Consider the following 25,461-nt stretch of genomic DNA (forward strand, 5'->3'; position numbering starts at 1 on the left):
TCCATTCGATATGTTTCCATTACACTCCATTCCATTCTATTCCTTTCGATTACATTCAATTCCATTCCATTCGATGCCATTCAATTCCAGTCCATTCCATTTGATTCCATTCCATTCGATTCCATTCCATTTAATTCCATTCCATTTAATTCCATTACACTCAATTCCACTCCATTCCATTCCGTTGCATTCCATTCCATTTGATTACATTCCATTCGATTCCATTGCATTCAAATCAATTACATTTCAATCCTTTACATTCTAGTCCGTTCTATTCCTGTCCATTCCAATCCGGTCCACTCCATTCAATCCCATTCCATTCAATTCCATTCCATACTATTGCATTACATTCAATTCTATTCTATTCGAATAAATTACATTCGAGACAATTCCTTTTGATTCCATTCTATTTGATTCCATTCCATTCGAGTCATTTACATTAGGTTCCATTCCATTCAATTCCATTCCATTTAATTTGATACCAATAAATTCGAATCTATTCCATTTGAATATATTGCACTCGAGTCCATTCCTTTCCGTTACACTCCGTTTGATGCCATTCCATTCGATTCTATTTCATTCAAATCCATTCCATTGCTTTCCTTTCCATCCTATTCCACTCCATTATGTTTCTTTCCATTCCATTCCATTCCGTTAGAGTCCACTCCACCCCAGTCCATTCCATTTGATTCCATTACCTTCCTGTCCATTACATTACAGTATATTCCATTCGAATTCATTCCATTCCATTTCATTCTATATCTTTCCGTTACACTCCATTCCATTCTATTCCTTTTGATTCCATTCAATTCCATTCCATTCGTTTCAATTCCATTCGATTCCATTCCATTTGATTCCATTCCATTTAACTCCATTCCATTCAAGTCCGCTTCATTTCATTACTTCCATTCCATTCCATTCCATTCCGATTGATTCCAATCCGTTCCATTCCATTTTGTTCCATTTCATTCCATTCGAGTCCATTCCATTCTAGTCCATTCTATTACATTGCATTCGAGTCCATTCCATTCCAATCCATTCCATTACATTGCATTCGAGTCCATTCCACTCCATGCTATTCCATCTGAGTCCATTCCATTCCATCCCATTCGAGACCATTCCCTTCCTTTAAATTCCACTCCATTTAACTCGGGTTCATTCCGTTGAATTCCATTGGAGTCAATTCCATTACATTCCTTTCAAGTCTATTCCATTGCATTCCATTATATTCAATTCCATTCCATTCCATTCCATTCCATTCCATTCGAGTCTATTCCATTTCATTCTATTCCATTGGATTCCTTTCCATTCCATTCCATTAGAGTCCATTCCATTAATTTCCATTGTAATCCATTCAAGTCCTTTCTTTCCATTCCATTCCATTCATTTCCATCCCATTCCTTTCAAGTCCATTCCATTCCATTCCACTGTACTCCATTCAAGTGCATTTCATTCCATACCATTCCATTCCATTCTAGTCCAATCCATTCCATTCCATTCCATTCCATTCCATTCCATTCCATTCCATTCCATTCCCTTCGGGTCCATTGATTTCCTTTCCATTCGAATGCATTCCGTTCCATTCTAGTCTATTCGATTCCATTACAATCCACTCGATTCCATTCCATTCCATTCCATTCCATTCCATCCCATTCCATTCCATTCCATTCCATTCTATTCCATTCCATTCCATTGCTTTCCCTTCCATTCCAATCGGGATGAGTCCATCGCACTCCATTCGAGTCCATTCCATTCCATTCGGGTTGATTCCATTCCAGTTCATTCCAGTACGTTTCATCACATTCCATCCTTATCGTGTCCATTCCATTCCAATCCATTCCACTCCATTCGAGTCCATTGCATTCCATTACAATAAATTCCATTCCATTCCATTCGGTTCCATGATTTTCCATTCCATTCCATTCAATCCTTACCATTCGAGTCTATTCAATTCCATTCGATTCCATTAAATTCCGTTAAATTCGAGTCCGTTCCATTCCATTATATTCTGGTCAATTCCTTTTGATTCCATATGAGTCCATTCCATTCCATTCCATTCCATTCGAGACCATTCCATTCCATTCCACATGAGTCCACTCCATTCCATTCCATTCCTTTCCATTCAAGCTCATTCCGTTCCATTCCATTCAGGTCCATTCCATACCTATCCTTTCGAATCCATTCCATTCTTATCCTTTCGAATCCATTCCATTCCATTCCTTCCCATTCGAGTCGAGTGTTTTCAATTCCATTCCATGACATACGGGTCCATTCCATTCGTGTCCATTATATTCCATTCCATTCGAGTCCACCAGATTGCATTCCATCCCATTTGAGTCCACACCACTCCATTCCACTTGAGTCCATTCCGTTCCATTCCATTCCAATCGGGTCCATTCCATTCCATTCCATTCGAGTCCACTACGTTCCGTTTCATTACATTCGAGTCCTTGCCATTCCATTCCACTCGATTCATTTCCATTCCATTCCATTTACATCCATTCCATTCCATTGGATTGCATTCCATTCAATTACATTTCAGTCCATTCCATTCCATTCCATTCCATTCCATTCCATTCTTTTGAGGCCATTTAATGCTTTTCCATACTATTCAAATCCATTCCATTCCATTCCATTCCTTCCCATTCCATTCAAGTACTTTCGTTTCTATTCCATTCCATTCGAGTCGGTTTCATTCCATTACAGTCCATTCTTTTCAAGTCCATTTCACACCGTTATTATCCATTCGACTCAAATCCATTCCATTCCGTTCCAGTCCATTAAAATCCATTCCACTCCATTCCATTCGAGTCCATTCCCTACCAATACATTGCACTCAAGTCCATCCCATTCCATCCAAGTCCATTACATTCCATTTCATTCGATTCCATTCTATTTCCTTCCATTCTATTCCATTCAATTCCATTACATTTCATTCCATTCAAATCCATTCCATTGCCTTCCATTCTATTCCATTCAGTTCCATTGCATTCCATTCCATTTCATTCCATTCAAATCCATTCCATTGCCTTCCATTCTATTCCATTCATTTCCATTCCAATCCATTCCATTTCCTTCCATTCAATTCCATTGTAGTTCATTCCATTCCATTGCATTCCATTCAATTCATGTCCATTCCATTCCACTCCATTCCATTTCATTCCTCTCCATTCCATTCCATTCCATTCCATTCCATTCGGATCAACTCAATTCTTTCCTTTCGAGTCCATTCCATTCCATTCCAATCCATTGCATGCCATTCAAGTTCATTCCACTGCCTTCCATTTCATTCTAATCATTGCAATTAATTCCATTCTATTCCACTTGAGTTGATTCCATTACATTCCATTCCATTCGGGTCCATTCCATTTCATTTGAACTCATTCCGTTCCATTCCATTCCTTTCGAGTCCTTTTCATTCCATTCCATCCCATTCCATTCTTTCCATTCTATTGCATTCCCTTCCATTCCATTCCATTTCATTCTTTTTGAGTCCATTTTACTCAACTGCATTCAATTCGAGTCCATTGCATTCCATTCCATTCCATTTCATTCCTTACCATTCCATTCCATTCCATTCCATTCTATTACATTCCTTTCCATTCGTGTCTATTCCAATCCATTCCATTCCATTCGAGTCCATTCCTCTGCATTCAGTCTCATTCGAGTCCATTCAATTCCATTCGAATCCTTTCCATTCCCCTTCACTCGATGGCATTCTATTCCATTCCATTTCATTCAAATCCATTCCAATTCATTTGGGTCCATTCCGTTCTATAACCTTCTGTTCGATTCCATTCCATTCCATTGCACTGCTTTCGGGTCCATTCAATTCCACTGCATTCTATTTGAATCCATTCCATTCCATTCCATTCCATTCCATTCCACTCCATTCCATTGAACTTGAGTCCATTCCATTCCTTTCCATTCGAGTCCATTCCATTCCATTTCTTCCCATTAGATTCCTGTCCATTCTATTCCTTTCCATTCGAGACCGTTCCATTCCATTCCATCCCATTCGAGTCCATTCCATTCCATTCCCTTCCATTCCATTCCATTCGAGCCCATTGAATTACTTTCCATTATATTCAAGTCAATTCCATGTCATACCGTTCCTTTCGAGTCCGCTTCATTCCATTCAATTCCATTGCATTTGAGTTTATTCCATTCAATTTTATTTCACTCTATTTGATTCCATTCAATTCCTTTCATTCCATTGGAGTCCATTCCATTCAATTACATTTCAGTATATTCCATTCAATACCATTCGCGTCCATTCAATTCCATTCCATTAGAGTCCATTCCTTTCTATTCCATTCTGGTCAATTGCATTCCATTCCATTCGAATCGATTCCACTCCATTACATTCGAGTCCATTCCTTTATATTCCACTCAAATCCATTGCATTCCTTTCGACTCCATTCCATTCCACTTTATTCGAGTCCATTCCATTCCTTTCCATTCTATGTCATTCAAGTCCATTCCTTTCCATTCAACATGAGTCCATTTCATTCCATTCCGTTTGACCCCATTCCATTCCATTCCATTAAATTCGAGTCTATTCCATTCCATTCGAGTCCTTTCCATTCCCTTCCATTCTCTTCCATTCGAGTCCTTTCCATTCCCTTCGATTCTCTTCCATTCAAGTCCAATCCATTCCATTCCATTCCAATCCATACCTTTCCATTCAATTCCATTCCAATTAATTCCATTCCATTCCAATTCATTCCATTCCATTCCATTTAATTCCATTCCATTCAATTCGAGTCCATTCCATTCCTTTCTGTTCCATTAGATTCTTGTCCATTCTATTCCTTTCCATTCGAGACTGTTCCATTCCATTCCATCCCATTTGAGTCCATTCCATTGCATTCTATTCCATTCCATTCCATTCCATTCCATTCCATTCTTTGCCATTCCATTCCATTCCATTCTATCCCATTCTATTTGAGTACTTTCCGTTCCCTTCTATTACATTCGATTCCATTCCCTTCCATTCCATTCCATTTGAGTCCATTGAATTACTTTCCATTTCATTACAGTCAATTCCATGTCATTCCGTTCCTTTTGAGTCCACTTCATTCCATTCAATTCCATTGCATTTGAGTTTATTCCATTCAATTTAATTTCATTCTATTTGATTCCATTCAATTCGTTTCATTCCATTGGAGTCCATTCCATTCAATTACATTTCAGTATATTCCATTCAATTCCATTCCGTTAGAGTCCATTCCTTTCTATTCCATTCTGGTCAATTGCATTCCATTCCATTCGAATCCATTCCACTCCATTCCATTCGAGTCCATTCCATTATATTCCACTCAAATCCATTGCATTCTTTTTGACTCCATTCCATTCCACTTTATTCGAGTCCATTCCATTCCTTTCCATTCTATGTCATTCAAGTCCATTCCTTTCCATTCAACTTGAGTCCATTTCATTCCATTCCGTTTGACTCCATTCCATTCCATTCCATTAAATTCGAGTCCATTCCGTTCCATTCGAGTCCTTTCCATTCCCTTCCATTCTCTTCCATTCGAGTCCTTTCCATTCCCTTCGATTCTCTTCCATTCAAGTCCATTCCATTCCATTCCATTCCATTCCATTCCAGTTCATTCCTTTCCATTCAATTCCATTCCATTCCATTCCATTCCATTCCATTCCATTCCATTCGAGTCCATTCCATTCCATTCTATTCCATACCATTCGAGTCCATTCCATTTAATTCCAATCCATTCGAGCACATTTCATTCCATTGAATTCCATTCCAGTAGAGTTAATTCCATTCCATTACATTCCATTCCGGTCGAGTCCATTCAATGCCATTCCATTCCATTAGAGTCCCTTCATTCAATGGTATTCCATTTGAGTCCATTCCGTTCCATTACATTTGAGTCCATTCCATTCAAACCAATTCCACTGCAGTACATTCTACTCCATTCCATTCCCTTTGTTTCGATTCCATTCCAATCCATTTCATTTCAGCAAAATTCATTGCATTCCATTTGAGAACATTCCATTCCCTTCCATTGGTGTACCTTCCATTCATTTCCAATCAAGTCAATTCAATTCTATTCAATTAGAGTCCATTCCATTCCATTCCATTCCATTCCATTGCATTCCATCCCATTGCTTTTGTTTCCATTCAATTTATTTCCTTTCCATTCGACTACATTCCTTTCCATTCTATTCAAGTCCATTCCATTCATTCTATCCCACTGCTTTTGAGTCCAATCAATTGCATTCCATTCCATTCGAGTCCATTATATTCCACTAGAGTCCATTCCATTGCATTACATTCCATTCGAGTCTCTTACGTTCTATTCCATTCGAATCCATTCCATTCAAATCCATTAAAGTCCGTTCCATTAAATACCATTGTATTCCATTCGAGTCCATTACATTTCATTTCGTTCCGTTCATGTCCATTCCATTCGTGTCCACTCCATTTCATTCCAAACCATTTGTGCACATTTCATTCCATTGCATTCCATTCCAATCGAGTTCATTCCATTCCCGTACATTATATTCCATTCGAGTACATTGAATATCATTCCATTCCATTCGAGTTCATTCCATTCAATGGTATTCCTTTTGAGTCCATTCCATTCAATTACATTTGAATCCATTCCATTCAAAGCAATTCCACTCCAGTCCATTCTATTCCATTCCAGTCCATTCGTTTCTATTCCATTCATTTCAATTCCATTTGAACAAATTTCATTCCATTCCATTCCATCAGTGTCCATCCCATTCCATTCCATTCCATTCCATTCCATTCCATTCCATTCCATGAGTCCATTCCATTCAATTCCATTCGAGTGAATTCCATTCTTCTATTCCATTTGAGTCCATTCCATTGCATTCCATTCCATTCGAATCCATTCCGTTCCATTCCATTAGAGTCCATTCCATTGCATTCCATCTCACTGCTTTTGATTCCATTCAATTTATTTCCTTTCCATTGGACTCCATTCCATTCCATTCGATTCCATTACATTGCATTTCATCCCACTGCTTTCAAGACTACTCAATTTCATTACATTACACTCGAGTGCATTCCATTCCATTCCATTCGAGTACATTCCATTGCATTCCATTTCGTTCGAGTCTATTCAATACTATTCCATTTCAGGCCATTCCATTCCATTCCATTAGAGTCCGTTCCATTAAATTCCATTAAATTCCATTCGAGTCCATTCCACTAAATTCCATTATATTCCATTCGAGTCAATTACATTCCATTTCGTTCCATTCATGTCCATTCCATTCCTTTCAAGTCCATTCCATTGCATTCCTTTCCATTCCTTTCTATTCCATTCAATTCCATTCGTGTCCATTCCATTTGAGTCCATTCCATTGCATTGCATTCCATTCGAGTCTATTCCATTCTATTTCATTCGAGTCCATTCCACTCCATTCCATTAAGGTCCGTCCCTTTAAATTTCATTGTATTAAATTCATGTCAATTCCATTCCATTTCATTCCATTCCATTCATTTCCATTCCATTCCATTCAAGTACATTCCATTCCATTCCTTTCAAGACCACTCGAATCCTTTCCATTCTGTTCCCTTCAAGTCAATTCCAATCCATTATATTCCATTGAAGTCCATTCCATTCCATACCTTTCAATTCCATTCCGTTCCATTCCATTCGGGTGGATTAAATTCCATTCCATTAGAGTCCATTCCATTCTATTCCATTCGGGTGGATTCCATTCCATTCCATTCCAGTACAATCCATTTCATTCCATCCCTTTCGAGTCCATTCCATTCCAAACCATTCCATTACATTCGATTCCATTACATACCATTCCATTAAATTCCATTTCATTCCGTTCAGTTCATTTAGTTTCCATTCCATTCCACACCATTCCGTTCCATTCGAGTACATTCGTTTCCACGTGGTTCCATTAAATTTCATTAAATTAGAGTCCATTCCATTTCATTCCATTAAAATTATATCCTGGTCCATTACTCTCCATTCCATTTGAGTCCATTCCATTACATCCATTCCATTCGAGACCATTCCTTTCCATTCCACTCAAGTCCATTCCTTTCCATTCCATTCATTTCCATTCCATTCCATTCCATTTCATTCCATTCCATTCGATTCGGGTCCATTCCATTCCTATCCTTTCGAATCCATTCCATTGCATTCCTACTGATTAGAGTCCATTCCTTTCCTTTCCATTCCATTCCATTACATACGAGTCCATTCCATTCCATTGCATTCCATTCAGGTCCATTCCATTCCATTTAATTCGAGTCCACTACATTGCATTCCATCCCATTCGATTCCCTTCCATTCCATTCCACTAGAGTCCATTCCATTCCATTCCTTTCCATTGCATTCCATTCCATTCCATTCAGGTCCATTCCATTCCATTCGAGTCCACTACATTCCATTCCATCCAATTCGAGTCCATTCCATTCTGCTCCACTCGATTCATTTCCATTCCATTCCATTGGATTTCATTCCATTCAATTCCGTTCCAGTCCATTCCATTCCATTCCATTCTATTCTATTCCATTCATTTCGTGGAGACTTATTTCCATTCCATACCATTCGAATCCATTCCATTCTATTCCATTCAAGTACTTTCCAATCTATTCTATTCCATTCGAGTCCGTTTCATTCCATTCCTTTCCAGTCCATTTGAATCCATTCTTCTTCATTCCATTCGAGTACATTGAATACCAAACCATTCCACTGGAGTCCATTCTATTCCATTAGACTCCATTCCATTTAATTTCATTTGAGTCCATTCCATTGCCTTCCATTCTATTCCATTCCATGTCATTCCATTCCAATCCATTCCATTCCATTCCATTTCATTCCTTTCAATTATATTTCAGACCATTATATTCCATTCCAATCGTGTCGATTCCATTCCATTCTATTCCAGTTCATTCCTCTCCATTCGATTCCTTTTTATTCCATTCCATTCGGATCCATTCAACTCTTTCCATTCGAGTCCATTGCATTCCATTCCATTCCATTCAATTTTGTTCCTTTCCACTGTAAGCCATTCGAGTTCATTCCACTGCATTCCATTTCATTTGATTCCATTCCAATCAATTCCATTCTATTCCACTTGGGTGGTTTCTATTGCATTCCATTCCATACGTTTCCATTCCATTTCATTTGAATTCATTTTTTTCCATTCCATTCGATTCGATTCCATTTCATTCCATTCCATCCCATTCCATTCCTTTCCATTCTAATGCAATCCATTCAAATCCTTTCCATTCCATTCCACTCCATTCCATTCCTTTCCATTCAACTCCATTCCATTCCTTTCCATTCCATTCCAGTCCATTCCATTCCGTTCCATTCCATTCCATTCCTTTCGGGTCCATTCTCATCAACTGCATTCAATTCGAATCCATTCCGTTCTATTCCATTCCTTACCATTCCATTACATTCCATTTCATTCCATTCCATTGCATTCAATTCCATTCCATTCCATTCGTGTCTATTCCATTCCATTCCATTCCACTCGGGTTGATTCCAATCCATTCCATTCCATTGCATTCCATTCCATTCCTTTCCATTCCATTGCATTCCATTCCATTCCATTCCATTCCATTCCATTCCATTCCATTCCATTCCATTCCACTCTGCTTGATTCCATTCCACTCCAATCCATTCCATTCAATTCCACTCGGGTTGATTGAATTCGATTCCATTTCATTTTATTCCATTCCATTCCATTCCATTCCATTCCATTCCATTCCATTCCACTCTTGTTGATTCCATTCCATTCCATTCAATTGCATTGCATTCCATTCGATTCCATTCCAGTTGATTCCGTTTCATTCCATTCCATTCCATTCCACTAGGGTTGATTCCACTCCATTCCATTCCATTCCACTCGGGTTGATTCAATTCAATTCCATTCCATTCCATTCCATTCCTTTCCACTCGGGTTGACTCAATTCCATTCACTTCCATTCCATTCCACTCGGGTTGATTCCATTCCTTTCCATTCCTTTCCCTTCCCTTCCGTTCCATTCCATTCCACTCCATTCCGTTCCTTTCCATTCCACTCCATTCCATTCCTTTCCATTCCATTCCAGTCCATTCCATTCCGTTCCATTCCGTTCCATTCCTTTCGGGTCCATTCTCATCAACTGCATTCAATTCGAATCCATTCCATTCTATTCCATTCCTTACCATTCCATTACATTCCATTTCATTCCATTCCATTGCATACAATTACATTCCATTCCATTCGTGTCTATTCCATTCCATTCCATTCCACTCGAGACCATTCCACTGCATTCAATCTCATTCGTGTCCATCAAATTCAGTTCCATTCCATTCCACTCGACTCGACTCCTTTACGTTCCATTTCATTCAAATACATTCCAATTCATTTGAGTCCATTCTGTTCCACTCCATTCCAGTAGAGTATATTTCATTTCATACATTTCCATTCCATTCCATTCCTTTCCATTGCGTTCGGGTCCAATCAATTCAAATGCATTCCCATTGATTCCATTCCATTCCCTTCCATTCCATTCATTTACATTCCTTTCGGGTCCAATCATTTCCGTTCCATTCGAGGCCATTCCTTTCCACTCCATTCCATTCCACTCGAGTCCATTTCTATACATTCCTTCCCATTCGAGTCCATTCCATTCCATTGCATTACATTCTTGTCCATTCCAGTCCTTTCCATTCGAGTCTGTTCCATTCCATTACATCCCATTCGAGTCCATGCCATTCCAATCCATGCCATTCCACTCCATTCCAGTCTTGCCTTTCCATTCTTTTCCATTCTATTACTATCCCTTCCATTACACTCCATTTGAATATATTCAATTACATTCCATTCCATTCGAGTCCGTTCTATTCCATTCTGTTAGATTCGAGTCCGTTTCATTCCATCCAATTCAATTCAACTGCATTCCATTTGATTCCATTCCATTCCATTTCATTCCATTCCATTCCATTCCACTCTACTTGATTCCATTCCATTCCATTCCATTCCATGCCATTCCATTCCACTCTGATTGATTCCACTCCATTATATTCCATTCCATTCCATTCCACTCGGGTTGATTCCATTCCATTCCATTCCATTCCATTGCATTCCCTTCCATTCCATTCCATTCCATTCATGTTGATTCCATTCCATTCCATTCCATTCCAATCCATTCCATTCCATTCCACTCGGGTTGATTGAATTCAATTCCAATTCATTCTATTCCATTCCATTCCATTCCACTCTTGTTGCTTCCATTCCATTCCATTCAATGGCATTGCATTCCATTTGATTCCATTCCAGTTGATTCCTTTCCATTCCATTCCATTCCATTCCATTCCACTAGGGTTGATTCCATTCCATTCCATTCCACTTGGGTTGATTTCATTCAAATCCATTCCATTCCATTCCATTCCATTCCATTCCACTCGGGTTGACTCAATTCCATTCACTTCCATTCCATTCCACTCAGGTTAATTCCATTCCATTCCATTCCTTTCCCTTCCCTTCCATTCCATTCCATTCTAATCCATTCCATTCCATTCCATTCCACCCGGGTTGATTCCAATCCATTCCATTCCATTCCTTTCCATTCCATTCCATTCCACTGCATTCCATTCCATTCCATTCCACTCGGGTTGATTCCATCCCATTCCATTCAGTTGCATTGCATTCCATTCCATTCCATTCCAGTTGATTCCATTCCATTCCATTCCATTCCATTCCATTCCATTCCATTCCATTCCACTAGGTTTGATTCCATTCCATTCCATTCCATTCCATTCCATTCCATTCCATTCCATTTCATTCCTTTCCATTCCACTCTATTCCACTCGGGTTGATTACAATTCACTGCATTATATTCCATTCCATACGATTCCATTCCCTTCCATTCCATTCCACACAGGTTGATTCAATTCCATTCAATTCCATTCAATTTCATTCCATTCCTCTCGGGTTGATTCCATTCCATTCCATTCCATTCAAGTTGAATCCCTTAAATGCCAATCCATTCCTTTCCATTCCATGCGTGTTGATTCCATTCAATTCCATTCCATTCCATTCCATGCCATTCCATTATATTGCATTCCATTCCATTCCTTTACAGTTGATTCCATTCAATTCCATTCCATTCCATTCCATTCCATTCTATTGCATTCCAGTCGTGATGATTCCACTCAATTCCAGTCCATTCCATTACATTCCAGTTGATTTCATTCCTTTAAATTCTATTCCATTCCATTCCATTTCATTCCATTCAATTCCTTTCCATTCCACTCGGGTTGATTCCATTCCATTCCATTCCATTCCATTCCAATCAGGTTGATTCCATTCCATTCCATTCCATTCCATTCCATTCCATTCCATTCTATTCCATTCCATTCCACTCGGGTTGATTCCATTCCACTGAACTCAATTCCATTCCATTCCATTCCACTCGGGTTGATTCCATTCCATTCCGTTCCATTTCATTCCATTCCATTCCATTCCAGTCCATTGCATTCTATTCCAGCTGATTCCATTCCATTCCATGCCATTCCATTCGTGTTGATTCCATTCCATTCCATTCCATTCCATTCCATTCCATTCCATTCCATTCCACTCAGGTTGATTCTATTCCATTCCATGCCATTCCATTCCATTCTATTCCAATCCATTCCATTCCACTCTATTCCACTCGTGTTGATTACATTCGATTCCATTATATTCAATTCCATTCTATTCCATTCCATTCCACTCGGTTGGATTCCATTCCATTCCATTCCATTCCATTTCATTCCATTTCGCTTGGGTTGATTCCATTCCATTCTATTCCATTCCATTCCATTCCATTTCACACGGGTTGATTCCATTGCATTCCATTCCATTCCATTCCATTCTATTCGATTCCATTCCATTTCATTCCACTCGGGTCGATTCCATTCTGTTCCATTCTATTCCATTCAATTCCGTTCAACTTGGGTTGATTCCATTCCATTCCATTCCATTATATTCCATTCCATCCAATTCAATTCCATTCCATTCCACTCGGGTTGATTCCATTCTGTTCCATTCCATTCCATTCCCTTCCATTCCACTCGGGTTGATTCCATTCTGTTCCATTCCATTCCATTCCCTTCCATTCCAATCGGGTTGATTCCATTCCATTTCATTCCATTCCATTCCACTCGGGTTGATTCAATTCTATTGCAATCCATTCATTTCCATTCCATTGCAATCGGTTTGATTCCTTTCCTTTCCATTCCTTTCCATTCCAGGCCATTACTCTCAGGTTGATTCCATTCAGTTCCATTCCATTGAATTCCATTCCATTCCATTCCATTCCACTCGAGTTGTTTCTACTCTGTTCCATTGCATTCCATTACACTCGTGTTGATTCCATTTCTTTCCATTTCATTCCATTGCCTTCCATTACACTCGTGTTGATTCCATTTCTTTCCATTTCATTCCATTGCCTTCCATTCCATTCCATTCCATTCCATTGCATTCCATTCCTTTCAATTCCATTCCACTCACGTTGATTCCATTCCATTCCATTCCATTGCTTTCCATTCTATTCCACTAGAGTTGATTCCTTTCCATTTCATTCCATTCCATTCCATTCCACTCGAGTTGATTCCATTCCATTCCATTACATTACATTACATTCCACTCGGGTTGATTCATTTCCATTCCATTGCATTCCATTGCATTCCACATGGGTTGTTTCTATTCCATTCCATTTCATTCCATTCCATTCCACTCTGGTTGATTCCATTCCATTCCATTCCATTATATTCCATTCAATTCCATTCCTTTCCATTCCAGTGCATTCCACTCCAGTTGATTCCATTCCTTTCCATTCCATTCCATTGCGTTCCATTCCACTCGCGTTAATTCTATTCCATTCCATTCCATTCTATTCCATTCCTTTCCACTCGTATTGGTTCCATTCCTTTTCATTCCCCTCCATTCCATTCGATTTCATTGCATTCCATTCCATTTCATTCCATTCCACTCGGATGGATTCCATTACATTCAACTCCATTCCATTCCATTCCATTCCATTCCATTCCATTCCATTCCATTCCATTCCATTCCACTCGGTTTGATTCCATTCCATTCCATTCCATTCCATTCCATTCCACTCCATTCCATTCCGTTCCACTCGGGTTGATTCCATTCCATTCCATTCCATTTCATTCCATTCCATTCCATTCCACTCCATTCCATTCCGTTCCATTCCATTCCACTCGGTTTGATTTCATTTCATTCCATTCCATTCCATTCCATTCCATTGCATTCCACTAGGGTTGATTCCATTCCATTCCATTTCATTCCATTCCAATCCATTCCATTCCTTTTCACTCGGGTTGATTCCATTCCTTTCCATTCCATTCCTTTCCATTCCATTCCATTAAACTCGTGTCGATTCCATTCCATTACATTCCATTCAAGTCCATTCCATTCCACTCGGGTTCATTCCATTCCATTCCATTCCATTCCATCTCATTTCATTCCATTCCATTCCACTCGGGTTGATTCCATTCCATTCCATTCCACTCCAATCCATTCCATTCCATTCCACTCAGGTTGAATCCATTGCATTCGGTTCCATTTCGTTCCATTCCATTCCAATTCATTCCGTCCCTCTCGGGTTGACTTAATTTCATTCCATTCCAATCCTTTCCATTCCATTCCACTCGGGTTCATTCCATTCCATTCCATTCCATTCCATTCCATTCCATTCCATTCCATTGCATTCTAGTTGATTCAATTCCATTTGTTTCCATTCCATTCCATTCCATACCCCTCGTGTTGATTCCATTCCATTCCGTTCCATTCCAAACCATTCCATTCCATTTCAGTTGATTCCATTCCATTCCATTCCAATCCATTCCGTGCCATTCCATTCTACTCCATGCCACTCGGGTTGATTGCATTCTATTCCATTCCATTCCATTCCATTCCATTCCATTCCATTCCATTCACTTGGGTTGATTCCATTCCATTCCATTCCATTACATTACATTACATTACATTCCACTCGCGTTTTTCCATTCCATTGGATTGCATTACATACCATTCCGTACCATCCCAATCGGTTTGATTACCTTCCGTTCCATTCTGTTGCATTCCATTCCATAAACTTCCATTCCAGTTGATTCCATTCCATTCCATTCCATTCCATTTCATTCCACTCGGGATGATTCTAATCCTTTCCATTCCATTCCAATCTATTCCATTCCATTCAACTCGGTTTGATTCCATTCCATTCCATTCCATTCCATTCCATTCCATTTCATTCCATTCCATTCCTTACCATTCTACTCGTGTTGATTCCATTCCATTCCATTCCATTTCATACCATTCCAGTTTTTTCCATTCCATTCCATTCCATTCTATTCCATTCCATTCCATTCGCGTTGATTCCATTCCTTTCCATTCCATTCCAGTCCATTCCCCTCGGGATGATTCCATTCCATTCCATTCCATTCCATTCCATTCCATTCCATTCCACTCGGGTTGATTCCATTCCATTTCATTCCATTGTATTCTTTCCATTCCATTCCATTCCATTCCACTCGGCTTGATTCCATTCCATTTCATTCCATTCCATTCCGTTCGGTAAATTCCATTCTATTCCACTCCGGTATATTCCATTCCAATCCATTCCATTCCATTCCATTCCATTCCACTCTGGTTGATTCCATTCCATTCCATTCAATTCCATTCCATTCATTCCATTCCACTCGGGTTGATTCCATTCCTTTCCATTTCATTCAATTCCATTCCATTCTGGTTCACACCATTCCATTGCATTCCATTCCGTTCCATTAAATTCCATACAATTACATTCCATTCCACACGTTTTGATTCCATTCCATCCCATTCAATTCTATTCCATTCCATTCCATTCCATTCCATTCCTCTCGGGTTGATTCAATTCCATTCCTATCCATTCTTTTCCATTTCATTCCACTCGGGTTGATTCCATTCCATTCCATTCCATTCCATTCCATTTCATTCGGGTTGGTTCCATTCCATTTCTTTCCATTCCATTCCATTCCACTCCACACTGATTGATTTCATTCCAGTCCCTTCTATTCCTTTCCATTCCATTCCATTCCATTCGACTCGTGTTAATTCCACACAATTCCATAACATTCCATTTCATTCCATTGATTCCATTCCACTCGGATTGATTCCATTCCATTCTATTCTTTTCCACTCGGGTTGATGCCATTCCTTTCCATTCCCTTCCATTCCATTCCACTCGGGTTGATTCAATTCAATTCCATTCCATTCCATGCCACTCCATTCCATTCAACTCCGGTTGATTCCATTCCATTCCGTTCCATTCCGCTTCTTTCCATTCCATTCCATTCCATTCCTGTTGATTCCATTCCATTGCATTCCATTCCATTCCATTCCATTCCATTCCACTCGTGTTGATTCCATTCCATTCCATTCAACTCCGTTCCATTCCATTCCATTCCATTCCATTCCATTCCATTCCATTCCACTCAGATTGATTCCATTCCATTTCATTCCATTCCACTCCATTCCATTCGAATACTTTCCACTCGGGTTGATTGCATTCCATTTCATTCCATTTCATTCCATTCCATTCCATTCCATTCCATTCCATTCCATTCCATTCCATTCCACTAGGATTGATTCCATTCCATTCCATTCCATACCTTTCCACTCTGGTTGTTTCCATTCCATTACTATTCATTCCATTCCATTTAATTCAATTCCATTCGATTCCCTTCCATTCCATTTCAGTTGATTCCATTCCATTCCATTCCATTCCATTCAGATTGATTCTATTCCATTCCCTTCAATTCCACTCGGGTTAATTCCATTCAATTCAGTTCCGTTCCATTCCAGGCCATTCCATTCCATTCCACTCAGATTGATTCTATTCCATTCCATTCCGTTCTATTCCATTCCGTTCTATTCCATTCCATTCCATTCCATTCCATTCCATTCCATTCCATTCGTATTGATTCTATTCCATTCCTTTCCATTCCATTCCATTCCAATTGTGTTGATTCCATTCCATTCCTTTCTATTCCATTTTATTTCACTGGGGTTGATTCCATTCCATAGCATGCCTTTCCACTCGTGTTGATTCCATTCCATTCCATTCCATTCCATTCCATTCCATTGCATTCCATTCCACTAGGGTTGATACCATTCCATTCCATTCCATTCAGGTTTATTCCTTTCCATTCCATTCCATTCCATTCCATTCCATTCCATTCCATTCCTTTCCTTTACATTCGATTTCATACCATTCCACTCGGGTTTATTCCAATCCATTCCATTCCATTCCATTCCATTCAACTCCATTTCATTCCATTTCATTCCCCTCGGATTGATTCAATTCCATTCCTTTTCATTCCATTCCATTCCATGCCATTCCAGTTGATTCCATTCCATTCCGTTCCTCTCCATTCCACTCCTTTACATTACATTGCATTCCATTGTATTCCACTCACGTTGATTCTATTCCATTCCATTCCATTCCACTCGGGTTGATTCCATTCCCTTCCATTACATTCTATTCCATTCCACTCCACTCGCTTTGATTCCATTCCATTGAATTCCATTCCATTCCATTCCACTGGCGTTGATTCCATTCCATTCCATTCCATTCAATTCCATTCCACTCGTGTTGATTCAAATCCATTACATTACATAACATTACATTACATTAACTTCCATTCCAGTTGATTCCATTCCATTTTTTTCAATTCCATTCTACTCCACTCTCGTTGATTCCATTCCATTCCTTTTCATTCCATTCCATTCCACTCCATTCCTTTCCACTCGGGTTGTTTCCATTCCATTCCTTTCCATTGAATTCCATTCCACTCGTGTTGATTCCTTTCCATTCCATTCCATTCCATTAGATTCCATTCCATTCCACCCTGGTTGATTCCATTCCATTTCATTTCTTTCCATTCCATTCTATGTCTTTGCATTGCATTGCATTCCACTCGGGTTGATTCCATTTCATTCTATTCCATTCCATTCCGTTCCTTTCCATTAAAGTCCTCTCGGGTTTATTGCATTCCATTCCATTCCATTATATACCATTCCACTCCATTCCATTCCATACAATTCCACTCTGGTTGATTCCATTCCATTCCATTCCATTCCATTCCATTCCATTCCATTCTATTCCACTGGGGTTGATTCCTTTCCATTTGATTCCATTCCATTCCATTCTACTCGGGTTGATTTGATACCATTCCATTCCATTCCATTCCATTCCGTTCCACTCTGGTTCATTCCATTCGATTCCAATCCATTCCATTGCATTCCATTGCATTCCACTCGTGATGATTCCATTCCTTTCCAATTCAAACTGAGTGGAATGAAATGGAATGGAATGGAATGGAATGGAATGGAATGGAATGGAAACATCCCGAGTGGAAATGAAAGGAATGGAATTGAATGCAATGGAATGGACTGGAATTGAATGGAATGGATTGGAATGGAATGGAATGGATTAGAATGGAATGGAAAGGAAAGGAATCAACTCGAGTGGAATGGAATGGAATGGAATGCAATGGAAGGGAACTGAAAGGAATGGAATGGTATGGAATGGAATGGAATGGAATGAAATAGAATTAACACCAGTGGAATGTAATGAAATGTAAAGGAAAGTAATGGAATTAACTGGAATGGAATGAAATGGAATGGAATCAACACGAGTGGAATGGAATGGAATGGAATGGAATAGAATCAAAACAACTGGAATGGAATGGAATGGAAGGGAAGGGATTGGAATGGAATGGTATCATTCTCAGTGAAATGGACTGGATTGGAATGGAATGGAATGAAATGTAATGGAATGAAATCAACCCGAGTAGAATGGAATGGAATGGAATGGAATGAACACGAGTGAAATGGAATGGAATGTAATGGAATGGAATTGAAAGGAATGTAATGAAATGGAATCAACCCGAGTGGAATGGAATGGAATGGAATGGAATGGAATGGAATAGAACGGAATGGAATGAAATGGAATGGAATGGAGTCAAACGGAGTGGAATGGAATGGAAAGGAATGTAATGGAATGGAATGGAATCAACAGGAATGGAATTGAAAGGAATGGAATGGAATGGAATCGAAGGGAAGGGAATCAACCCGAGTGGAATGGAATGGAATGGAATGGAATGGAATGGAATGGAATGGAATGAAATCAACCCGAGAGTAATAGAATGGAATTTAATGGAATGGAATGGAATGGAATCAACTGGAATGGAATGGAATAAAATGGACTGGAAAGAAATCAACCCGAGTGGAATGGAACGGAATGGAAAGGAAGGGAATGGAATGGAATGGAATGGAATGGAATGAACCCAAGTGGAATGGAATGCAATGGAATGGAATGGAATGGAATGGAATGGAATGGAATGGAATGGAATGAACCCAAGTGGAATGGAATGCAATGGAATGGAATGGAATGGAATGGAATGGAATAGAATGGAATGGAATGGAAAGGATTCAACCCGATTGGAATGGAAGGGAATGGAATTGTATGGATTGGAACCAACCCGAGTGGAATGGAATGGAATGGAATGGAATGGAATGGAATCAACCCGAGTGCAATGGAATGGAATTGAATGGAATGGAATGGAATCAACCCTAGTGGAATGGAAAGGAATGGAATGGAATGGAATGGAACAGAATGGAATCAACCCGAGTGGATTGGAAAGGAATGTAATGGAATGGAATGGAATGGAGTCAATCCGAGCGAAATGACATGGATTGGAATGCAATGGAATGGAATGGAAGGGAATGGAATAGAATGGAAAGGATTGGAATCAAAAGGAATGGAATGGAATGGAATGGAATGGAATGGAATGGAATGGAATGGAATGGAATGGAATGGAATGGAATGGAATCAACCCTAGTGGAAAGGAATGATATGGAATGGAATGGAATGGAACGAAATGGAATGGAATGAAATAAATCTGAGTGGATTGGAATGGAATGGAATGGATTAGAATGGAATGGAATGGAATCAACACGACTGGAATAGAATGGAATGGATTGGAAAGGAATGAAATCAACCTGAGTGGAATGGAATGGAATGGAATAGAATGGAATGGAATGGAATCAACTGCAATGGAATGGAATGCAATGGAATGGAATGGAATGGAATGGAATTCAATAGAATGGAATCAACAAAATTGGAATGGAATGGAGTGGAAGGGAAAGGAATGGAATGGAATGGAATGGAATTTAATGGAATGGAATCAACCCGAGTGGAATGGAATGGAATGGAATGGAATGGAATGGAATGGAATGGAATGGAAAGCAATGGCAAGAATTGGAATGGAAAGGAATCGACCCGAATGGAATGGAATGTAATGAAATGGAATGGAATGGAATGGAAGGGAATGGAGAAGAATGGAATGCAATGGAATGGAATGGAATGGAATGGAAAGCAATGGCAAGAATTGGAATGGAAAGGAATCGACCCGAATGGAATGGAATGTAATGAAATGGAATGGAATGGAATGGAAGGGAATGGAGAAGAATGGAATGCAATGGAATGGAATGGAATGGAATGGAATGGAATGGAATGGAATGGAATGCAATCAACACGAATGGAATGGTTTGGAATTTAATGGAACGGAATAGAATGTAATTGAATGGAATCAACCCGTGTAGAATGGAATACAATGGATTGGAATTGAATGGAATTGAATTGAAAAAATCCGAGTGGAATGGAATGGAATGGAATGGAATGGATTGGAATGGAATGGTATGCAATGGAATGGAATGCAATGGAATGGAATGAATTGGAATGTAATCAACCCGAGTGGAATGGAATGGAATGGAATCGTATTTAATGTTTTGGAATGGTATCAAAATGAGTGGAATGGAATCGATGGGAATGGAATGGAATGCAATGGAATGGAATGGAATGGAATGGATTGGAATGGAATCAACCCGAGTGGAATGTAATGTAATGTAATGGATTGGAATAGAATGGAATGGAACGCAATGAAACAGAGTAGGATAGAATGGAATGAAAAGGAATTGAATTGAATTGAATGGAATGGAATCAACAAGATTAGAATGGAATGGAGTGGAATGGAATTGAATGGAATGGAATGGAATCAACCCGTGTGGAATGGAACGGAACGGAATGCAATGGAATGGAATGGAATGGAATGGAATGGAATGGAATGGAATGGAATGGAATGGTATGGAATGGAATAGAATCAAACCGAGTGGAATGGAAAGGAATGGAATGGCATGGAATGGAATGGAATGAAATGGGATAGAAGGGAATGGAATCAACCCGAGTGGAATGGAATGGAATGGAATGAAACTTAAAGGAATGTAAGGGAAAGGAATGGAATGGAAACAACCCGAGTGGAATGGAATGAAATGGAATGGAATGGAATGGAATCAACCTGAGTGGAACGAAAGGGAATGGAATGGAGTGCAATGGAATGGATTCGAATGGAATGGAATCAACCTGAATGGAATTTAAAGGAAAGGAATGGAATGGAATGGAATGGAATGGAATGGAATGGAATTGCATCAACACGAGTGGAATGGAATGGAATTGAATGGAATTTATTGGAATGGAATGGAATGGAATGGAATTTAATCAACCTGAGTAGAACGGAATGGAATGGAATGAAATGGAATGGAATGGAATCAACCCGAGTGGAATGATATGGAATGGAATGGAATGGAATGGAATGGAATGGAATGGAATGGAATGGGATGGAATGGAATGGATTGGAATGGAATGGATTGGAATGGAATGGAATGGAATGGAATGGAATGGAATGGAATGGAATGGAATCTACCTGTGTGGAATGGAATGGAATGGAATGGAATGGAATGGAAAGTAGTGGAATGGTATGGAATCAACCCGAGTGGAAAGGAATGGAATAGAAGGAAATGGAATGGAATGGAATGGAATCAAACCGAGTTGAATGGAATGGAATGGAACGGAATGGAAGGGAGTGGAATGGAATTTTATCATCACGAGTGGAATGCAATGGAAAGGAAGGAAAGGGAATGCAATGGAATGGAATCAACCCAAGTGGAATGGAATGGAATGCAATGGAATGGAATGAAATGGAATGGAATGCAATAAAATGGAATGGAATGGAATGGAATCAACACGAATGAAATGGAATGGAATCAACCCGATTGGAATGGAATAGAATGGAGTGGAAAGGAATGGAATGGAATGGAATGGAATGGAATGGAGTGGAATCAAACCGAGTGGAATGGAAGGAAATGGATTGCAATAGAATGGAATGGAATAAAATGGAATGAAAGGAATGGAATCAACCCGAGTGGAATGGAATGGAGTTGAATGGAATAGAATGGAATGGAATTTAAAGGAATGGAATCAACTCGAGTGGAATGGAATGGATTGGAATGGAAGGAATGAAATGGAATGGAATGAACACGAGTGGAATGCAATAGAAAGGAATGGAATTGAATGGAATGGAATGGAATGGAATGGATTGGAATGGTTTGAAATGGAATAGAATGGAATGGAATGAAATGAAATGGAATGGAAAGGAATCAACGTCAGTAGAATAGAATCGAATGGAATTGAATAGAATGGAATCTAATTGAATGGAATGGAATGGAATGGAATGGAATGGAATGGAATGGAATGGAATGGAATTGAAAGGAATGGAATGAAAGGGAATGGTATAGAATGGAATGGCATGGAATGGAAACAACCCGAATGGAATGGAATGGAATGGAATGAAAAGGAATGGAATCAACCAGAGTGGAATGGAATGGAATGGAATGGAATGGAATGGAATGGAATGGAATGGAATGGAATTCAACAGAATCGAATCAACCCGAGTGGAATCAACTGGAATGGAATGGACTGGAATGGAATGGAATGGATTGGAATGGAATGGAATGGAATCAACCCCAGTGGAATGGAAAGCAATGGAATCGAATCAATTGGAATGCAATGCAATGGAACGGAATGGAGTGGAATGCAATGGAATCAACCTGAGTGGAATGGAATGGAATGGAATGGAAGGGAATGGAATGGAATGGAATGGAATGGAATGGAATGAAATGGAACTGAATGGAATGGAATCAACGTGAGTGGAATGGAATGGAATAGAATTGAAAGGAATGGAACGATATGGATAGGAATGGAATAGAATTGAATGGAAAGGAATTGGATAACCGCGAGTGGAATGGAAAGGAATGGAATGGAATGGAACGGAATGGAATGGAATGGAATAGAATCAACCCGAGTGTAATTGAATGGAATGAATGGAATGGAAAGTAAATGATTTGTAAGCAATGGAATGGAATCAATAGGAAGGGAATGGAAAGAAATGAAACGGAACGAAATGGAATGGAACGAAATGGAATGGAATGGAATGGAATGGAATGGAACGGAACGGAATGGAATGGAATGGAATGGAATGCAATCAACCCGAGTGGAATGGAATGGAATAGAATGAATTGGAATGGAATCAACACGAATGGAATGCAATGGAATTGAATGGAATAGAATGGAATGTAATGCAATAGAATGGAATGGAATGGAATGGAATCAACCCGACTAGAATGGAATGGAATGGAATGGAATGGAATGGAATGGAATGGAATGGAATGGAATGGAATAGAGTGGAATGGAATGAAATGGAACGGAATGGAATGGAATCAACCCGAGTGGAATGGAAAGGAATGAAATGTAACAGAATGGAATGGAATCAACGTGAGTGGAATGGAATGGAATGGAATTGATTGGATAGGAAAGGAATAGAATGGAATGGAAAGGAATTTAATAAAAGCGAGTGGAATGGAATGGAATGGAATGGAATGGAATGGAATCTACCTGTGTGCAATGGAATGGAATGGAATGGAATGGAAAGGAGTGGAATTGTATGGAATCAACCCGAGTGGAAAGGAATGGAATAGAAGGAAATGGAATGGAATGGAATGGAATCAACCCGAGTTGAAAGGAATGGAATGCAATGGAATGGAAGGGAGTGGAATGGAATTTTATCATCACGAGTGGAATGGAATGGAATGGAAGAAAGGAAATGCAATGGAATGGAATCAACCCGAGTGGAATGGAATGGAATAGAATGGAATGGAATGCAACGGAATGGAATGAAATGGAATGGAATGCAATAGAATGGAATGGAATGGAATGGAATCAACACGAATGGAATGGAATGGAATGGAATGGAATGGAATGGAATGGAATGGAATGGAATGGAATGGAATGGGATGGAATGGAATGAGGGAATGTCATTGAGCAATGAAGGAATGTCATCCTTACCCAGATGCCAGCCACCTGTCTCACATCCAGGACAGAGTCTCCATCTCCCCTCCAGCAAATATGCATGTATGTGGGCATGGTGGCACGCCCCTGTGATCCCAGCTACTCCATAGGCTGAGGTGGGAGAATCGCTCGTGCTTGAGAATTCAAGTTTTCAATGAGCCATGATCACACCACTGCACTTCATGTTGGGTAACCGAGTGAGACCCTGTGATTTTTCCCCTACATTTTACAGAATTTTTTTTTTTTTTTGCCTCTTCCTTCCATTAATTTGCGTTTTGTCCGTTCATTTTCTGCAAACCTTTAGAGGGCAAATGAGAAGTTTCCCTTTTTCTCTCTAAATGAGTAAGTTCCTCAAAATTTGGGCCCCTGAATAGGCAACAGGAGGGTGTGTGCAGGGGCTCCGCCACAGTGATTTGACCACTCCCAGTCAGGCATCAGTAATACTCCCCAGAACCCCAGGCTGAAGCCCACTGATGCTGATGTAGTTCAATCCACTTCCTCTGCTACTGCACCAGGCTGATATGCCTTGGCCCCTGTTAAAGGTGTGAGATATAATGGGTGCAAATCTGTGTTCAGTTTTATCCAAATCCAAGTGCTTTCCTACTTTTTCAACTTCCCTGTTTTTCTATTTAACACTTATTGCTCACTCCGTAAGACAGTAGAGACGGCATTCTCCTCTAGTTATCCTCAGGGAGAGCTGGCTGAGGACAATTAGTAACACCTTGGTTGTGAATGCCAAATAGATTTTGTAATTTCATGTCAGATGCAAGATCCTAATAGTAAAATTATTTTATTACAATTGTCTCTCGCTGATAGAAAAAGGGAGTAATTGAAATTCTAAAAGTTGGTTTTAAAAGTAAAAAGCAAATCCTGAAAGATGTAGTATCCTAAAGATGTAGTATTTTCCATGAATCACTGGGAAAGTAAAGGATGATAAAAACCTTTTTGTTCCCCATAGTGCAGAATTCAACACTGGACAGACTGCAGGAATGGGAGCATTCGGGGAATACAGGAGAGGTCAGTTATTGTTTAACTAAACTGCCTTGGGTTATGGTGGGTGGGATGCGGTTGGTGGTGGTGATGGCAGTTGATGTGGACCCACAAAGGAGCCAAATATGATACTTGTGAAGAACCACAGAGTTGAAGGC

At 39.6% G+C, this 25,461-nt stretch overlaps 1 gene, besides 19 other annotated features; it reads left to right on the top strand.

The window, feature by feature from the left end:
• Window positions 1-25,461, top strand: part of IGK (immunoglobulin kappa locus) — a 1,378,008-nt gene that overhangs the window by 959,553 nt on the left and 392,994 nt on the right.
• Window positions 3,624-4,174: an enhancer, noted in NCBI's record as "OCT4-NANOG hESC enhancer chr2:89859347-89859897 (GRCh37/hg19 assembly coordinates)". NCBI's record gives its function as "activates a minimal SCP1, AML or CMV promoter by ChIP-STARR-seq in primed H9 embryonic stem cells {active_cell/tissue: H9 hESC(primed)}" and the evidence as "EXISTENCE:reporter gene assay evidence [ECO:0000049][PMID:30033119]".
• Window positions 4,485-5,195: an enhancer, noted in NCBI's record as "OCT4-NANOG hESC enhancer chr2:89860208-89860918 (GRCh37/hg19 assembly coordinates)". NCBI's record gives its function as "activates a minimal SCP1, AML or CMV promoter by ChIP-STARR-seq in primed H9 embryonic stem cells {active_cell/tissue: H9 hESC(primed)}" and the evidence as "EXISTENCE:reporter gene assay evidence [ECO:0000049][PMID:30033119]".
• Window positions 5,196-5,905: an enhancer, noted in NCBI's record as "OCT4-NANOG hESC enhancer chr2:89860919-89861628 (GRCh37/hg19 assembly coordinates)". NCBI's record gives its function as "activates a minimal SCP1, AML or CMV promoter by ChIP-STARR-seq in primed H9 embryonic stem cells {active_cell/tissue: H9 hESC(primed)}" and the evidence as "EXISTENCE:reporter gene assay evidence [ECO:0000049][PMID:30033119]".
• Window positions 9,217-9,767: an enhancer, noted in NCBI's record as "OCT4-NANOG-H3K27ac hESC enhancer chr2:89864940-89865490 (GRCh37/hg19 assembly coordinates)". NCBI's record gives its function as "activates a minimal SCP1, AML or CMV promoter by ChIP-STARR-seq in primed H9 embryonic stem cells {active_cell/tissue: H9 hESC(primed)}" and the evidence as "EXISTENCE:reporter gene assay evidence [ECO:0000049][PMID:30033119]".
• Window positions 10,640-11,515: an enhancer, noted in NCBI's record as "OCT4-NANOG-H3K27ac-H3K4me1 hESC enhancer chr2:89866363-89867238 (GRCh37/hg19 assembly coordinates)". NCBI's record gives its function as "activates a minimal SCP1, AML or CMV promoter by ChIP-STARR-seq in naive H9 embryonic stem cells {active_cell/tissue: H9 hESC(naive)}" and the evidence as "EXISTENCE:reporter gene assay evidence [ECO:0000049][PMID:30033119]".
• Window positions 11,516-12,391: an enhancer, noted in NCBI's record as "OCT4-NANOG-H3K27ac-H3K4me1 hESC enhancer chr2:89867239-89868114 (GRCh37/hg19 assembly coordinates)". NCBI's record gives its function as "activates a minimal SCP1, AML or CMV promoter by ChIP-STARR-seq in naive H9 embryonic stem cells {active_cell/tissue: H9 hESC(naive)}" and the evidence as "EXISTENCE:reporter gene assay evidence [ECO:0000049][PMID:30033119]".
• Window positions 12,392-13,267: an enhancer, noted in NCBI's record as "OCT4-NANOG-H3K27ac-H3K4me1 hESC enhancer chr2:89868115-89868990 (GRCh37/hg19 assembly coordinates)". NCBI's record gives its function as "activates a minimal SCP1, AML or CMV promoter by ChIP-STARR-seq in naive H9 embryonic stem cells {active_cell/tissue: H9 hESC(naive)}" and the evidence as "EXISTENCE:reporter gene assay evidence [ECO:0000049][PMID:30033119]".
• Window positions 14,142-15,017: an enhancer, noted in NCBI's record as "OCT4-NANOG-H3K27ac-H3K4me1 hESC enhancer chr2:89869865-89870740 (GRCh37/hg19 assembly coordinates)". NCBI's record gives its function as "activates a minimal SCP1, AML or CMV promoter by ChIP-STARR-seq in naive and primed H9 embryonic stem cells {active_cell/tissue: H9 hESC(naive and primed)}" and the evidence as "EXISTENCE:reporter gene assay evidence [ECO:0000049][PMID:30033119]".
• Window positions 15,018-15,891: an enhancer, noted in NCBI's record as "OCT4-NANOG-H3K27ac hESC enhancer chr2:89870741-89871614 (GRCh37/hg19 assembly coordinates)". NCBI's record gives its function as "activates a minimal SCP1, AML or CMV promoter by ChIP-STARR-seq in naive and primed H9 embryonic stem cells {active_cell/tissue: H9 hESC(naive and primed)}" and the evidence as "EXISTENCE:reporter gene assay evidence [ECO:0000049][PMID:30033119]".
• Window positions 15,892-16,767: an enhancer, noted in NCBI's record as "OCT4-NANOG-H3K27ac hESC enhancer chr2:89871615-89872490 (GRCh37/hg19 assembly coordinates)". NCBI's record gives its function as "activates a minimal SCP1, AML or CMV promoter by ChIP-STARR-seq in naive and primed H9 embryonic stem cells {active_cell/tissue: H9 hESC(naive and primed)}" and the evidence as "EXISTENCE:reporter gene assay evidence [ECO:0000049][PMID:30033119]".
• Window positions 16,768-17,641: an enhancer, noted in NCBI's record as "OCT4-NANOG-H3K27ac hESC enhancer chr2:89872491-89873364 (GRCh37/hg19 assembly coordinates)". NCBI's record gives its function as "activates a minimal SCP1, AML or CMV promoter by ChIP-STARR-seq in naive and primed H9 embryonic stem cells {active_cell/tissue: H9 hESC(naive and primed)}" and the evidence as "EXISTENCE:reporter gene assay evidence [ECO:0000049][PMID:30033119]".
• Window positions 17,642-18,517: an enhancer, noted in NCBI's record as "OCT4-NANOG hESC enhancer chr2:89873365-89874240 (GRCh37/hg19 assembly coordinates)". NCBI's record gives its function as "activates a minimal SCP1, AML or CMV promoter by ChIP-STARR-seq in primed H9 embryonic stem cells {active_cell/tissue: H9 hESC(primed)}" and the evidence as "EXISTENCE:reporter gene assay evidence [ECO:0000049][PMID:30033119]".
• Window positions 18,518-19,392: an enhancer, noted in NCBI's record as "OCT4-NANOG-H3K27ac-H3K4me1 hESC enhancer chr2:89874241-89875115 (GRCh37/hg19 assembly coordinates)". NCBI's record gives its function as "activates a minimal SCP1, AML or CMV promoter by ChIP-STARR-seq in naive H9 embryonic stem cells {active_cell/tissue: H9 hESC(naive)}" and the evidence as "EXISTENCE:reporter gene assay evidence [ECO:0000049][PMID:30033119]".
• Window positions 19,393-20,267: an enhancer, noted in NCBI's record as "OCT4-NANOG-H3K27ac-H3K4me1 hESC enhancer chr2:89875116-89875990 (GRCh37/hg19 assembly coordinates)". NCBI's record gives its function as "activates a minimal SCP1, AML or CMV promoter by ChIP-STARR-seq in naive and primed H9 embryonic stem cells {active_cell/tissue: H9 hESC(naive and primed)}" and the evidence as "EXISTENCE:reporter gene assay evidence [ECO:0000049][PMID:30033119]".
• Window positions 20,268-21,142: an enhancer, noted in NCBI's record as "OCT4-NANOG-H3K27ac-H3K4me1 hESC enhancer chr2:89875991-89876865 (GRCh37/hg19 assembly coordinates)". NCBI's record gives its function as "activates a minimal SCP1, AML or CMV promoter by ChIP-STARR-seq in naive and primed H9 embryonic stem cells {active_cell/tissue: H9 hESC(naive and primed)}" and the evidence as "EXISTENCE:reporter gene assay evidence [ECO:0000049][PMID:30033119]".
• Window positions 21,143-22,018: an enhancer, noted in NCBI's record as "OCT4-NANOG-H3K27ac-H3K4me1 hESC enhancer chr2:89876866-89877741 (GRCh37/hg19 assembly coordinates)". NCBI's record gives its function as "activates a minimal SCP1, AML or CMV promoter by ChIP-STARR-seq in naive and primed H9 embryonic stem cells {active_cell/tissue: H9 hESC(naive and primed)}" and the evidence as "EXISTENCE:reporter gene assay evidence [ECO:0000049][PMID:30033119]".
• Window positions 22,019-22,893: an enhancer, noted in NCBI's record as "OCT4-NANOG-H3K27ac-H3K4me1 hESC enhancer chr2:89877742-89878616 (GRCh37/hg19 assembly coordinates)". NCBI's record gives its function as "activates a minimal SCP1, AML or CMV promoter by ChIP-STARR-seq in naive and primed H9 embryonic stem cells {active_cell/tissue: H9 hESC(naive and primed)}" and the evidence as "EXISTENCE:reporter gene assay evidence [ECO:0000049][PMID:30033119]".
• Window positions 22,894-23,768: an enhancer, noted in NCBI's record as "OCT4-NANOG-H3K27ac-H3K4me1 hESC enhancer chr2:89878617-89879491 (GRCh37/hg19 assembly coordinates)". NCBI's record gives its function as "activates a minimal SCP1, AML or CMV promoter by ChIP-STARR-seq in naive and primed H9 embryonic stem cells {active_cell/tissue: H9 hESC(naive and primed)}" and the evidence as "EXISTENCE:reporter gene assay evidence [ECO:0000049][PMID:30033119]".
• Window positions 23,769-24,642: an enhancer, noted in NCBI's record as "OCT4-NANOG-H3K27ac-H3K4me1 hESC enhancer chr2:89879492-89880365 (GRCh37/hg19 assembly coordinates)". NCBI's record gives its function as "activates a minimal SCP1, AML or CMV promoter by ChIP-STARR-seq in naive and primed H9 embryonic stem cells {active_cell/tissue: H9 hESC(naive and primed)}" and the evidence as "EXISTENCE:reporter gene assay evidence [ECO:0000049][PMID:30033119]".

Source organism: Homo sapiens, chromosome 2 (assembly GCF_000001405.40).
Source record: "Homo sapiens chromosome 2, GRCh38.p14 Primary Assembly".
Classification (NCBI taxonomy): domain Eukaryota; kingdom Metazoa; phylum Chordata; class Mammalia; order Primates; family Hominidae; genus Homo; species Homo sapiens.